This window comes from Homo sapiens, chromosome X (assembly GCF_000001405.40).
Source record: "Homo sapiens chromosome X, GRCh38.p14 Primary Assembly".
Classification (NCBI taxonomy): domain Eukaryota; kingdom Metazoa; phylum Chordata; class Mammalia; order Primates; family Hominidae; genus Homo; species Homo sapiens.
The window spans coordinates 47,049,207-47,065,663 of NC_000023.11; the positions used below are offsets into that span (position 1 = coordinate 47,049,207).

Here is a 16,457-nt window from a genome sequence, read left to right on the forward strand (position 1 = left end):
AGACTGAGTCTTGCTCTGTCGCCCAGGCTGGAGTGCAGTGGCGCGATCTCGGCTCACTGCAACCTCCACCTCCCAGGTTCAAGCAATTCTCTGCCTCAGCCTCCTGAGTAGCTGGGATTACAGGTGCCCGCCTGTAATTTTTAGTAGGGATGGGGTTTCACCATCTTGGCCAGGCTGGTCTTGAACTCCTGACCCATGATCCAACTGCCTCAGCCTCCCAAAATGCTGGGATTATAGGCGTGAGCCACCGCGCCCAACCCTTTTTTTTTTTCAGGGTCTCACTCCTATCGCCCAGGCCGGAGTGCAGTGGCACAATCACGGCTCACTGCAGCCTCAACTTCCCAGGCTCCCACCTCAGCCTCCCTAGTAGCTGAGACCACAGGTGTGCACCACCACACCCAGCTAATTTTTGTATTTTTTGTAGAGACAGGGTTTCGTCATGTTTCCCAGGCTGGTCTTGAACTCCTGGACTGTAACAGTCCTTGCGTCTTGGCCTCCCAAAGTGCTGGGATTATAGGCGTGAGCCACTGCGCCTGGCTCTTCTTCTTCTTTTTTTTTTTTTTTTTTTTTTTTGAGAGGGAGTCTCGCCCTGTCGTCCAGGCTGGAGTGCAATGGCGCGATCTTGGCTCACTGCAACCTCTGCCTCCTGGGTTCAAGCAATTCTCCTGCCTCAGCCTCCCAAGTAGCTGGGATTACAGGCGTGTGTCACTGCACCCGGCACTCTTCTTCTTTTTTTTAATGGTAATATTATTGTACGTTTTTTGTTGTTTTACAGTCTAGCTGGAGTGCAGTGGCACAATCGTGGCTCCTTTTAGCCTCGACCTCCTGAGCTCAAGTAATCCTCCCACCTCAGCCTTCCGAGTACCACAGGCGTGCACCACCACACTCTGCTAGTTTTTTTATTTTTATTAGAGACGAGGTCTCACTATGTTACCCAGGCTGGTCTCAAACCTTTGAGCTCAAGCGATCCTCTTGCCTCAGCCTCCCAAGGTGCTGGGATTATAGGCATGAGCCACCATGCTCAGCCCAAGTTTTATCTTTTAAATTGCAATTTTTATTAACACATTGTAGTTGTACATATTTGTGGGGTATAATTTGATGTCTTTATATATGTTGTATAGTCAAATCAGGATATTTAGCATATCTGTCATCTCATGCGTTTATCATTTGTTTATGGTGAGAACATTCAAAAGCCTCTCTTCTAGCTATTTTGTAAAATATAATACCCTTCTGTTAACTGTCGTCACCCTGTGCAATGGAACACCAGAACTTATTCCTCCCAATTATAACTTCGTACCCATTGACCAGCATTTTTCACCACCAAAATATATAGATCTCCAGCTATAAATACCACAGAATTACCTTTTTTTGAAAAGAGTTGGATTTTATGGCAGTTTCCTAAAAGGTATTATATTTTTCATATAAGTACCCAATTCTTACCTATGCATTATCTTTTATTTTGAGTAATTTATGTTTATATTTGTCTCTACATTCTATAAACATTCTATAAATTTGACCTGAGAAGATCTGTTTTTAGCTTCCCAATAATAGTAGTTTGATGTCACTTACTCATTCCCTTGAATAGAAAATCATTTGCTTTTTCTTCCCATATCTTTAACAGTTATTAAACAGCAAAAGAGTACTGTGCCCAACACTTTAAATCTTTTACTAAAGAATACCTTTTACTTTGTTTTTCAAACGTCTGACTAGTTTCTTAGCCAAGTGATAACAAAAGGTACCCAGGTAAAAGTACATCTTGAACTTTCATCATCCTCATTTTCGAGAGGCTTCAGTGTAATATAACAAACTTTTCTGATAGTGGTGTTAAAAGCCGGGGTGGACCATCTTAGGAGCTTCTTATCTGGAAGAATTCAGTAAGTGGCTAGATTACCACTTAATTGGAAAGTGGAGGGGGAGGTGTATAGAGTGGGGGATGGAGGCAGAAAATCAGGTACTCTCGAGGAAATTCAAGCAATAATAAATGTAAGGCTGGATTAGATGATCTTAGAATTATATTTCATCCCTGGAATTCTTTATCATATGAAATTAGTTTAAATGAAATATGGAATATGCCCCTTTAAAACTTTGACAGTTGCCAGTATCCTCTTAGGTGTTGAATTTCTCAATCTAAGATGATCTATTGGGCCTTTGCATTCTTTTTGTCTTTATTCATATGTAAGAATTAACACTTGGCTTTAACCATAAGAATTCCCAATATTTCCTTAGAAACGAATCTTCCCTTACTTTCCCCACTTCCTCTACATAAACACATAGATGCACTCATGCATTTTAAATCTTTGGGCAGCAGGGTGCAGTGGCTCATGCCTGTAATCCCAGCACTTTGGGAGGCCAAGGTGGGCGGATAACTTGAGGCCAGGAGTTCAAGACCAGACCAGCCTGGCCAACATGGTGAAACCCCGTCTCTACTATAAATACAAAAATTAGCCAGGCATGGTGGTGCACACCTGTAGTCCCAGCTACTCGGGAGGCTGAGGCAAGAGAATCGATTGAACCCAGGAGGCAGAGGTTACAGTGAGCCGAGATCACGCCACTGCACTCCAGCCTGGGCAACAGAGTGAGACTCTGTCTCCCAAAAAAAAAAAATTAGGCCTGGCACAGTGGCTTATGCCTGTAATCCCAGCACTTTGGGAGGCCGAGGTGGGCAGATCATTTGAGGTCAGGAGTTTGAGACCAGCCTGGCTAATTGGTGAAACCCCGTCTCTACTAAAATACAAAAATTAGCAGGACTTGGTGGCGCACGCCTATAATCCCAGCTACTCACAAGGCTAAGGTGGGAGGATCACTTGAGCCTGGGAGGCAGAGGTTGCAGCGAGCCAAAATCGCGCCACTGCACTCCAGCCTGGGCAACAGAGTGAGACCCAGTCTCAATCAATCAGTCAGTCTTTGGAAGGAAAGCTGTAACATTGTAACCATAACAAATAGTAATTAAGGCTAACTGAAGCACAGGAGTATAGTAGTCATGGGCCAGGTCCTTCCCCCTTTGCCCCCCCCTATGAATAGTCAGTACATACTGCATAGTAATGCTTAATAAATGTGTTAAATCTATGACTGAATGGCAGAATATTATAAACTTAATTTCAGATTGTCTGTAACCATATTGTTCAATAGAACTTTCCACAGTGGGCCAGGCACAGTGGCTCACACCTGTAATCCCAGCACTTTGGCATGCTGAGGCGGGCGGATCACCTGAGGCCAAGCATTCGAGACCAGGCTGGCCAACATAGTGAAACCCTGTCTCTACCAAAAATACAAAAAAATTAGCCAGGTGTGGTGGCAGGCACGTGTAGTCCCAGCTACTTGGGAGGCTGAGGCAGGAGAATCACTTGAACCCTGGAGGTGGAGGTTGCAATGAGCCGAGATTGTGCCACTGCCCTCCAGCCTCAGCAACAGAGTGAGACTCTGTCTCAAAAAAAAAAAAAAAAAAAAAAAAAACTTTCCACAGTGATGGAAATGTTTTATGTCTGTGCTGTCTAGTGTAGTTAAAATGTGGCTACTGTGACTGAGAAACTAAATTTTTTAATTATACATAATTTTAATTAAATTTAAGGCTAAGCGCAGTGGCTCACACCTGTAATCCCAGCACTTTGGGAGGCTAAGGCAGTCAAATCACTTGAGGTCAGGAGTTTGAGACCAGCCTGACCAACATAGTGAAACCCCATCTCTACTAAAAATACAAAAATTAGCCGGGCATGGTGGCACATGCCTGTAATCCCAGCTACTCGGGAGGCTGAGGCAGGAGAATTGCTTGAACCTGGGAGGCAGAGGTTGCAGTGAGCCGAGATTGCACCACTGCACTCCAGCCTGGGTGACAAAGTGAGACACCGTCTAAAAAAATTTTTTTAAAAAATGAAATAGCCACTCATGGCTACTTGGCCACCAAGTTGGACAGCTCAGTTCTATAACAACAATTTCACGGGGCATGGTGGCTCACACCTGTAATCCCAACGCTTTAGGAGGCTGAGGCTGGTGGATCACTTGAGCCCAGGAGTTCAAGACCAGCCTGAGCAACATAGATTCTCTATTTTTAAATATTTTAAAAAATTCTTTTTGAGATAGGTTCTCACTCTGTTGCCCAGGCTGGAGTACATTGGTGTGATCTCGGCTCACTGCAGCTTGGACCTCCCGGGTTCAGGCAATTCTCATGCCTCAGCCTCCCAAGTAGCTGGGACTACAGACATGCACCACCATGCCCAGAAAGCTTTTGTATTTTTAGTAGAGACAGGGTTTCGCCATGTTGCCCAAGCTGGTCTCGAACTCCTGGCCTCAAGTGATCCACCTGCCTTGGCCTCCCAAAGTGCTGGGATCACAGGCGTAAGCCACTGTGCTCTGGCCTAAAATTTTTATGTTTAAAAAAAAAATTCAAGAAGTTAGGTTACTTAGATATTGGAATTCCTATGACTTTTTTAGAACCAGTGGATGCTCTAGCAATAATACTCACTTTGTGTGTTTTCTTTTGTTTGTTTAGAAACATTTTCTGAGCAACTGCTTCTTCAATAGTTAATGACGATGCAAAATGAAAGACACAGCTTCTGTTTTTAAGATCTATCCCTAAGGACTTGACAATTGTTATAGGTACAGTGTGAAAAGTACCATTTTAAAAGCATTCATAGGGTGATGTGGGAGACACAGAGAAGAGACTACATGACTGTTTACAGGAGCCCAGGAAAGCATCTCAGAAAACTTGATGCTTGAATGCTTGAGCTGAAACCTCAAAAGGAGTGTTTGAATTATTTTTGGCCTCTGTGTTTGCTGTTTTCTGTAAGAACAGGTTTCTTGGGTTACTTGTAAAGCATCTGTTATGGTCAGTTTAGGACTAACTTTCTCCCGGTCTTTCTTTTGCTTCCTACAAGCTATCAATTTAGGTCCAGAAACATAGGTCTCTCCCTTTTCCTCCAACTCTGCTACCTTGACACCTATTTTCTTCCTACAGTGCTCTATAAAAAGCTGCATCACTGCCTTCCACGTCACCTGTGCCTTTGAGCACGGCCTAGAGATGAAGACCATCCTAGATGAGGGAGACGAAGTGAAGTTCAAGTCATATTGCCTCAAGCATAGCCAAAACAGGCAGAAACTTGGAGAAGCTGAGTACCCCCACCACAGGGCTAAAGAGCAGAGCCAGGCCAAAAGTGAGAAAACCAGCCTGCGGGCACAGAAGCTTCGGGAGCTGGAGGAGGAGTTCTATTCCTTGGTACGAGTGGAAGATGTGGCCGCAGAGCTGGGTATGCCCACGCTAGCTGTGGACTTTATCTATAACTACTGGAAACTGAAGCGGAAAAGTAACTTCAATAAGCCATTATTTCCTCCAAAGGAGGATGAAGAAAATGGGCTGGTGCAGCCAAAAGAGGAAAGCATTCACACTCGAATGAGAATGTTTATGCATCTACGCCAGGACCTGGAGAGGGTAAGGTGACCAGCTGTGACTAGTATATAGGCCTCGGTCTGTGTAGAAATGGAGGTCCCACTTCTGGTTTAATAATGGTCAGTCAGCTCATAATAGTGTGGGCTTCTGTGTCCTTGCTTATCTTCTGATCTCTTTATGGCCCCAGACATTGGGCTCTGTGTAAATTCTGACAGGCACATCCAGGGGATTTGGGAGGCCTCGGGTATATGCTCTATGAACTTTACATTTGAAATAAACTCTCATTTGGTTTACTTTTTATTCACTGTTGAGCCTAAATTGGCCCATCCATATTTTACTGACATATTTATGAGACTTTAGGCTGAAGAAAGAGTGAATTTTGTTCAGGAAAACACCAAATTAGAGTTTCACAAACTTGGCACTGTTGACATTTTGGACTGGATAGTTGTTTGTTGTTAGGGGGCTGTCCTTTGTTGTAGGGGCAATTTAAGATGTTTACCAGCATCCCTGGCCTCTACCCACTAGATGCCAGTAGCACCCGCACACACACCCCCAGCGTGACAACCAAAAATGTCTGCAAATTACCAAATTTGCTCTCCAGTTGAGAGCCACTCCACATGATAATTCAATATAACTCATGGTATATTTATCAGGTATCTACTAAATGAGATACTGCAGGGCTTCAAAGGTAAGTTAAGCCCTGTGTTTATCCTAGAGAATTTTCTAATTAAATGTAAATCTATAAATGGCTTGTGTTTTTTTTTCTCTGCTACCAGAATTTGAAAGAGAACTAATAGATTTGGCTCACTTTTAAAAATTTAAGACACTCACATATAGCACCTACTATTACTATTATTGCCAACACTGTCCTAAGCATTTTATAAATATTAATTCATTTAATTCTAACATGCCCATGAAAAACTATTATTATCATCATCACTATTTACAGATGAACAAACTGGGGCAAAGAAAGTTTGTGTAACTTGCCTAGGTAGGGAGTATGAGAGAGAGAGTATTTCACCTTTGTGGCTGTGGAAACTTGGTTGAGCTGAAAGTGTGAGCAAAAAAAACACTTCTAGTCTTCCCAGTGGAACTGTATCCTGCTCGTCCGGCACTGATTAGAAAATTGTACTGGATACAGCCAGCATTGCCATCATTCGTACTCAGGGATCTAAAGGGAAGGCTGAATTGTTAAACCATTATTCAGCTTCCCAACCTGGCTGTGCAAATAAATATCAAGCCCATGACACTGCAAAGAGAGTAGGTTTCAGAAGGCAGATTTGGAGCATTTTGCTTTTACTATTGGTTGATAGATCCCAGAATTGACCATGCTGTGTGAATTCCTGTGGAGTGGGTCTCATTCTGCAGCTCTTGGATTCTGTCTTCTCTCCTCACCCCCACCTGACTTTAGGTCTTTATTTTAGCCAAACAATTTCAGTTGTCAGGTTTGCTTAACATGACAAACATCTCTATTTGTTGGGGATTGGGCTTTCAGGTCCGAAATCTGTGCTATATGATAAGCAGACGAGAGAAGCTGAAGCTGTCACACAACAAAATACAGGAACAGATCTTCGGTTTGCAAGTCCAGCTTCTTAACCAAGAAATTGATGCAGGTAACCTGTATATTTAAAATGTCCTAACAAATATGTAGACTCTGGTTATATCCTATCTTAACAATTTAAATTTCATGCCAGTCATTCCACTTAAAAATCTTTTAAAATTCTTGTCAGATATCTCATTTGCTTCAGTCTAATCTTAATATAACCTGGCCCATTTCACTGTCAGTTCATAAGGCAAGAAATCCCAGGGTGGGGTAGGAGGAGTTGCAGGTCTAGGGCAGGTAATCTAGGTCCCAAACAGATATTCGAGGCCATTAGTGGAAGCCATGAAATTATTCTGTAATTATCAAATTCATTTAGAAATTGACGGGATAGGATCTAACACGTTTCCAGAAAACACTTAATTCTAGGGTTACTCATCTTAACAATAGTCTATTAAAACAAATCCTTAGCCAGAAGTAAGTTTGGAGATCTGAGTTGTTATCTTTTCATTTATTCACTAATATTTGTTGAGCACCTACAGTGGACTAAGAGCTGAGCTACAAGATACAGTAGAAAGCAAGACAAAATCCCTGCCTGTAGGGTACACTGCCCACTTGGTGAGCAAGACAGGTGAGCATAATTATAGTGCCCTAAGCATAGGGAGCTGGGCTGGAATGATGACAGTCATATTCAGTGACACCTGTAAACTCCCTGTGCCTCATTTAACACAGAGGTCAATGGCAGAGCCTGGGCAACTAGGGGTCACTGGACAGGGTGTGCAGAATCAGCTCCTGCCAAGGGAGGGTCAGCCATGGAGCATGAGAGAGACTCAGAAATGAGGTGACAGGTGGGTGTCAGAGGCCTTGGGGTATCTGAGTGTCATGGGTCTCAACAGAGTAGTGTAGCAGGAGGCAGCAAGACTGCTCAGCCACAAAGGGCAACATGACAAGCAAAACAAGGAGAAGCAGAGGACAACAGGGAGAGTCCCTGCATGCCAAGGAAATTGGCTCCTACCCACATGCCTTCTGATGTGTAGGAGTCAACCTCATTATGACTTGCAGCATCAGCAGGTGACAGCTCCTGACAGAGATGGGGGTTGTGGGTGTTCAAGGTGGACCTTTGGGGAACAAATGCTGCCCACTGGGATACCTAAGAGCTGTCCTCTTGATATCTCATTTTTGTGAGGGTACAGTAAGATGGTAATGGGCAAAGGTCAAGTCCATATACAAGGAGGAATTGTTTGATAGTGCTTTTTAAATTTCAAAGTACTTGAAATAATAGAAGAAGACCTGCTCTGACTGTGATTGTAGGATGACTTAACTGAGAAACTGATTGCCGATACTCCCCAACCAATCCTATAGCAGGCTGGTTGGCAGGAATGTTATGATTCTTTTCTGCTGGCCTTACCACTACAAAACCTCCCACCACCATAATGTTCATTTGTAGTCAGGAAATTATTCTAGGTTAAGGATATAAAATTTATGGGAACCACCCAACTATCACCTCTAATGCCAAGTTCAAACACATACATACTCTTCACCCACCAAAACCCTTGCAACGTTTCTGAAGGTTTGTGTTTGCCTTGCTTCAGGAAGGCCAGAAGAGATTAGAGGATGGGGCCTGAAATGTGTGTGTTTAAGACACATACTAAGTGCTGTGCCATACCAACACATGCATGCACAGACACACAAATAGGAAGACCCTATTCTAAACCATTGCTAGAGACATTCTTCTCAGAAATGGAAGGGCAGAGATGGGACGCAGGAGGCAACACACTAGTTTGTGATCATTTTACAGACTGAAAGAGCAGAGGTGAAGAGGTGTGGAGCCATATAGCAAACAGTGGCATTGCTGAGTTCATTCTTGGCCCCAACCTCTAGTTCAGCTCACTCCAGCTGCTACACCATGATATACATACATAGCAGAGCCAGGTGCTTGTTAAACATTTGGAAGAGTAGGTATGTGAACTCACTCTGCCATAAGCACAAAAGCCATTATTTAAATCGGTTGTTAAAACGAATCTTTCTTTTTTATCTCAGGGCTTCCTTTGACAAATGCACTTGAAAACTCACTGTTTTACCCACCACCAAGAATTACCTTGAAGTTAAAAATGCCCAAATCAACCCCAGAAGACCACAGAAACAGCTCCACAGAAACCGATCAGCAGCCCCACTCTCCTGACAGCAGCTCATCTGTTCACAGTATAAGGAACATGCAGGTGCCTCAGGAGTCACTAGAAATGAGAACAAAATCGTATCCGAGATACCCACTAGAGAGCAAGAATAACCGTTTGCTGGCCAGTCTCAGCCATTCTAGGAGTGAAGCAAAGGAGTCCAGTCCTGCTTGGAGAACCCCGTCCTCGGAGTGCTATCATGGGCAGTCACTGGGAAAGCCTCTGGTCCTTCAGGCTGCCCTCCATGGACAGTCTTCCATTGGGAATGGGAAAAGTCAGCCTAACTCCAAGTTTGCCAAATCCAATGGCCTGGAGGGCAGCTGGTCTGGGAATGTCACCCAAAAAGACAGCTCGAGTGAGATGTTCTGTGACCAGGAGCCTGTGTTCAGCCCCCACTTGGTCAGTCAGGGCAGCTTTAGAAAATCCACTGTAGAACACTTTAGTAGGTCCTTTAAAGAGACCACCAATAGGTGGGTGAAGAACACAGAGGACCTCCAGTGCTATGTGAAGCCAACCAAGAATATGAGCCCCAAGGAGCAGTTCTGGGGTAGACAGGTTCTCAGGCGGTCTGCAGGGAGAGCTCCATATCAGGAAAATGATGGCTATTGCCCAGATTTGGAGCTGAGTGATTCAGAGGCAGAAAGTGATGGGAATAAAGAAAAAGTCAGGGTAAGGAAAGATAGCTCAGACAGGGAAAATCCTCCCCATGACTCTAGACGGGATTGCCATGGTAAAAGCAAGACACATCCCCTTTCCCACAGTTCAATGCAAAGGTGATTAGAAACTTCCAAGGATGACCCAACCTTTGCCTTTGCCCCATATATTGGGGAAAACCCATACACCAAAAGGATTTTAGCATATGTTAAGAGGAATTGCAGTGAAAAGGATAACATTTTTCCATAGTAAATTGTCTTGCAGTTTTTGAAAATGTTTCAAGTCTAGTTTTTACAAGCACATTACAGTAATTGCAGGTTGTCCAGAGGTTGGTTTGTCAGAGGCTATTGGGAACAGCTGGGCCCAGGGTATTTGCTCAGTAAATATTTTGGGGCAGCTTTCCGGTTATATAACACATTGACAAGTATATGTATTAAGAGTCCTTGCATTGTTAACTGATTTGCAAGAGACCATGATTATCAGACACTAAAACTACTTATCTTTTGAAGCTACAGCATGTGACTCCCCAGAGCTCCTGTCTGTAGGAAGTTTCTAATTCCACTGGTATCTATAAACCCTTTTCAGGGGAGAGACCAGGAGACCACCATCTTAGATACTGTCAAACTCACTACTGTCTTCCTTTGTTCTGCACAAGGTTGAGTTTCTTTCACAGTATCTTAACTTACTGAGTCAATACTCCTCATGCTTATCAGTGTCCAGTGCCTGTTCCTAAACTTGCTTGTTGGGGACACACTCATAACTATTTCACCTGACTGACAAGCATAAAAGGCTAACTTGTGGATAGTGTTTACAAAAGTACAAAAGTACTACTTCCAAGGAAAATGCTCTGATTCTCTGTTTAGGCATTTGTGAAGGATTCCAGAGCCTTTCCCAAAGTGAGACCATTTCTGGGGTATTTGTACCAGGTCAGGGTTTTTGTGTTGTTTTCAAATAAGTTTGACTAAAATAAGTTTGGCTGACAGTTTTTGTATACCTGCTTTAATGTTTATAAAATTTTTATTGAGGTATAATTAAAATATAGTAAAATGCACAGAGGTTAAGTATTCTTACCTGCTTTAATTTTGAAACAGATTTTTATTGTCAAACAGAATTTGAAAGCATGTGTTTAACACATGGATATAATTTAGCTTTGTGTCACCTTTGAATCTGAGGCAGTTTCCCAAACAAAAAGGCTGGAGCCATTTTTCAGAAGTTGCTTATACCCTGTTCCCAAACTATCAGCCTTGATTAATTTCTAGTAGGAAGAGAATAATTACATTTGCGGGGGGGGGGGTGGATAAAAACATGTCTGCTTCTCATTTAAATAAGAGAGAAATGATGCCGTTTTTTAAATGTGAAGCAGACTATAATTCTCAGCTCTCTTTTCTTCTTAGCCTTAAATTAATATTCTCTTTCTTCTAGTTTTGGAAAGTGTAGTGGGAATATTCAGACAAAAGAGGCCATTTTCCATTTTTAAAGCTTCTTACTGGTGAAACAGCCCAGTTGTAGTAGGTGCCAGTCAGTCAAGGCAGGGGCCCTCTCTCCGTCAATATGGAAAACTCAGCAGTTTTCCTCTCCCCCAGTTGTGTTCTTGTAACGTTGTTAATGGGTTCCTTTGCTTTTTGCTTTCTCCTTTTCTGAAAATGTATGTGTTTTGCCTCTCTTTTGGCTACATCTTCAAAATATTTCTTTTGTGCCTATGTACATGTGTAAACATGCCATAGCATGTGTGGTAGGTGTCCTGTATTTTGTTTGGGAAAAAAACTATCAAAATGAGGAAGAGAATTTCCCCTATTTATGCACTAGGTTTCTGTGCTTTTTCTTTGAGTTCTCTGGAGTAGATATTAATTTGATACCTTCATGGTAATGAAATTATGATGGAGCTGTGTTATAAATTCCTTATGTCAGAGGCCAGTGCGGTAGCCTTTGTCCCTTCATGCCTTTCAATTCTGAGTGGGAGGAAAAGCAAACATCAAAACAGTGCTTCAGCCAAATTCCATATGTAATGCCATTGGGAGAGTATTGACTAAAATATCATTCGTCAGGGAAATATAGTTGTAATATTTTTACAGGATATTCCTAGGTAAATGAAGGAGCCTTCAGTTGTAAATTTCAATTACCCCAAAATGTATTTGCTACATTTTGTTGTTTGAAGTATTACCTCTTAACCTTCTTTGTTAATTTTTTTCATTTTGTCTTATATAGTCCAGTTTTCCAAGATAAGCTCAGTCCTTTTTCAAATGTCCCCTTTTTACCAATACTTTTTCATTAAATTATGAAAACTGCTACCTACTGTCAGTGTGTTTTTTATTTTGGCATATTGGTTACACATGTTCCTTTTATATTTAAAAAATTATATTCACTGAACAAAACAGATAGTGTGGGGAGAGGGAGGAGGAAGAGGAGGAATTGAATGTTTAGAAGCACACATTCAACATTCGAGTCAATACCGGGGACCCAGGAGAACTCTGGATACTTGAACTTTACCCAGAAATCATGATTTTATCAGACTGTTAAGATAAAGGCCTTAGGATCATCATAAAACATCACCAGAGAGATAGATCCTATCTAAAGTGACAAGATTGAAAAGGCTTCAGTCAGGCATCTCTATTTGGAGTCTTGTGAGTATGTTGATGTCATGGGGTTATGTGGTGTCAAGGGGGGCTTTTAGGCATTATAAACATTTTCATGATTGAAAAATGTACTTGCCAAAGGTCATTGGGTAAATCAGTAGTGAAGATAGGTAAAAGGTGAAGTTGGTTCTCTCTCTCTCTCTCTCTCTTTCTCTCTCTCTCTGCTAGAGAACTGAAACTACAGGTATACCCTGTTATAGCCAACAAAAGCTATTGAGTTTATACTAATGTGTACATTTCCAATGGGAGATGAATCTTTGTCCTTGTGTTGAAGCAACTTTAAATTCAGAGGATAAGCCAAAGAATGCACAATCCTGGGTTATTTTCCTTCTAGGACTTTAAAATCCTCAGTATGCTTGCTGACCTTTCAGAATTGAGGAAAAGTACATGATAGAAATGAAAACTTATTTACCACTGAATAGCTTTCATGTGATATTTTCCAAAAAATCTAACTTATTTATAAATTTTATTAGATTTTCACAACCTTAATTCAGCTATTTTCAAGTTTAATATTAATAGAAAGCAGCAATTGTGTGGGGTTTTTTTATTCTTTTAACTAACAACCATGCAAGCTTGGATTTTTTTAAGTAATTTTTAGTTAATAAAGACCCACCCTGAGGCTATCACTTCTATGTGGGAGCTTTATAACAATCTAGCACTGTAAAAGAAGTTCCTTTGAATACGGTTAATTATACTATACAGATTGGAACAAATTGCATGACCTGAAGATGTGAGGATAGTTGTTCTTCAAATAAATCAAGGTTAAGGAGGATCAAGCCCCAGACTAGTGTCCCCTACTCTATGTAGTCACTGATCATCTTTTTTTTTCTTGAGTTGGGGTCTCGTTCTGTCACACAGGCTGGAGTGCAGCAGCATGATCAGAGCTCACTGTAACCTCCAACTCGTGGACTCAAACAATCCTCCCGCCTCAGGTCCAGAGTAACTGGGGACTACAGGAGCATGCCACCATGCCTGGCTACATTTTTCTATTTGTAGAGATGGAGTCTCACTATATTGCCCAGGCTGGTCTCAAACTCCTGGGCTCAAGCAATCCTCACGCCTCGGCCTTCCAAAGTGCTGGCATTACAGGCATATGAGCCATGATGCCTGCCACTGATGATTTTTTTTTTTTTAGGGTCTTAGAGCATCCATCATTTCTCATTTTGTTAAGATGGATTTGGATATGAGCAGTCCAGCCTCAAGGCTTGAATGCCCCAAGCTTTAAATTTCTTTCCCCTCCTCTCACTACTTGCACTCTTCTTCTCAATTTCATTTATTATAACTGAATATCAGGTTATAAACAAGGTGGAAAGATGGAATTGGTCTGTTCAAGCTGTACTGATTACAGCGAGTTATCTGAATTGGGAGGCCATTTGCGGAACCACTTTTTGCTCAACATTGCTTTCTAAAGTATTGCCATAATGTAATGACACTGCTTTCATACACCACACGTGGAAATGGATCTCGTTATTTTATAGTCATTTCTCACATGAGAAAACTTCATTCGAAAAATTGCTGAAATTTTGAAAATTATAATCACTTCAGCCTCACAACAGAAAGACACTTCGGGTTGGACCAGTACCATTTTAGATCTTTCAGCTGCTGCTTAGGGAAAAAAACATTAAATACGTATTCCTGCTTCAGATAAGCCTGGCATAGGTGCCAGTGTTCTGGTAACAGATTTTTCCTCTCTTCACCTTAACTTTTCTACTTTACAAAACTGGATCTCTGGTTCTTTCCCCTCCCCCTAGCTCTTCAAACAAAGGTGGCTCTAGGGGTTAAGCAACAACAGTGTTCACAAAGTGGTGGTTAGCTGTGTGCAGTACTGTGGCCACTCAGTCTTTTCAGTCATATTTGCCTTCAAGGACAACAATGAACAAGATCAGACAGTGCTGCCTGCATCTTTGGGGCAGAATTTGTGCCCGTGTCTTGTCCTCCAGTCCTTAAAGATGGACTGAGAGCTGCATGAGCAGTTTCAAGCTAAAGGTCAGTTTCAAGACAGCTACTTGGGGCCGGGCATGGTGGCTCATGCCTGTAATCCCACCACTTTGGCAGGCTGAGGTGGGGAGGATCGCTGGAGCCCAGGAGTTCGAGACCAGCCTGGGCAACATGATGAAACTCCATCTTATTAAAAAAAAATAAAAATAAATAAAAAAAAACCTTGGTCGGACAAGCCAGGAAACTTGTTTGGGACCAGTCAAGCCTTCAAATAATAAAAGTTACAATATTCATCAAGCCCTTAACCTATGGCAGGCCTTTTGCTAAGCCTTTTACATGGGGCTACCTTATATTTAGTTCTCACAACAACCATATGAAGATAATACTATCAGCTGCATTTGATACGTGAAAACTGAGGCCAAATGTTTAAGACAGTTGTTCAAAGCTAGAACCTGTGAGCTTGCCTCTACAACTCATACTTTTAGTCACTTTGCTTGACTCCTGTGCCCAAAGCCCCCTCTCTAAACACTCTTACTCAGTTTCTTCCTGAGGAAACCAACCTGAGTTGGGGTTTGGTTGTAAGGATTCTGTACCACTTTATCCGTGATGCCTGGACAGAGTTGATTGGACCACAATTAGTCATCTAACACAAAGTCAGTTTAGAGGTTCACATCCAAAACACAAGATACGTCACACAAATCTGAACAGTACAGACCTCACAGATCTAGGACCTGGTGGATTTGCCTTCTCCGTAGCTAATCTAACTTGCAACTGGGCATAGTAAAGATAGATAATGCCCCCCCAAAGATGTCCATGTCCTAATCCCTGGAGCCTGCGAATATGCTACCTTGCATGGTAAGAGGGGTTTAGCAGATGTAATTAAAGTTAAGGGCTTTCGACCCCAACCATTACACATGTAGCACACAAGCACATATACCCCCGACTCTAAAATAAAAATTTAAGGGCCTTAAGATGGGGAAGTTATCCTGGATTATCTAGGTGGGCCCAACCAATATAGTCACAAGGGTGCTTATAAGAGGGAGGCAGGAGTATCCAAGTCAGTAATAAGAGATGTGACAATGGAAGCGGGAGGTTGGAATGATGCAAAGAAGAGCCATGAGCCAAGGAATGCAGACAGTCTCTAGAAATGGAAAAAGACAAGAAACAGACCCCACCTCAGAAGGTTTTCAGAAACAACTCAGCCCTGCCTATGCTGTGATTTTAGACGTTTGACCTCCTGAACTCTTAAGAGAATATATTTGTGTTGTTTTAAGCCACTAAATTTGTGGTAATTTTTACAGCAGAAATAGAAAACTAATACACTAGGCATACTGCAAGTGCTCCCTACCCTTTTGGGGGAATGTTCCTTTCCCAGTATGTCCATCTCTGCTGTGATACTCTAGGTTGGTCCTGTACTTTCATTAGTTGAAACTCTTTCCATTAAATGGAAAACCAGTGTTTTTTTTTGATCAATAGAATCCTCCCCTAGAGAAATTAGTTTTCTCTTTCTCGTCCCATCCCCCCAACACTTTTTCCAAGGTAGCCTTTGGTACTTCTTAGGTAGCCTTGGATAATCCTCCATGGGCCTGCTGGATCCACCGTGGCTGAATCTGGCACTGCCTGAGGAGTTGCCCATAGGTTTGTATGGTCCTGTTGTCTGAAAAACTGTCCTGGGGAAGTAGAAATAATTCCTTGAGTGTTACTCCACGGGGGAAGTTATAGAAGGCACATGTAGCTCATTATGATAAATGCTTTCGTTATCAGAGCTTCCTAAAAGGAAGTGAATGGCCTGAGAGTTGAGTTCTTAAAACACCCCAGATACCTGAGCCAAGCTTGGAGGTTAAAGAATGCAACTCTATGCTGCCTACAAGAAGCCCACTTTAAATATTGGCCGGGCACAGTGGCTCACGCCTGTAATCCCAGCAGTCGGGGAGGCCAAGGCGGGCAGATCACCTGAGGTTGGCAGTTCGAGACCAGCCTGTAATCCCAGCTACTCTGGAGACTGAGGCAGGAGAATCGCTTGAACCCAGGAGGTGGAGGTTGCAGTGAGCCGAGATTGTGCCATTGTACTTCAGCCTGGGCAACAAGAGGGAAACTCCGTCTCAATAAATAAATAAATAAATACAAACAAACATACA

The 16,457-nt window shown here is 42.3% G+C and overlaps 1 protein-coding gene across 2 annotated transcripts in view; it reads left to right on the forward strand.

The window, feature by feature from the left end:
• The window catches only part of JADE3 (jade family PHD finger 3), a 148,942-nt gene extending 136,906 nt beyond the window's left edge, over positions 1-12,036 (forward strand). For both annotated transcript variants that reach the window (NM_001077445.3, NM_014735.5), the window contains exons 9-11: positions 4,952-5,422; positions 6,876-6,993; positions 8,961-12,036. In NM_001077445.3, coding sequence (NP_001070913.1) covers positions 4,952-5,422; positions 6,876-6,993; positions 8,961-9,871 — 1,500 coding nt within the window. In that variant the 3' untranslated portion in view covers positions 9,872-12,036. The remainder of the gene's footprint in view (positions 1-4,951; positions 5,423-6,875; positions 6,994-8,960) is intronic.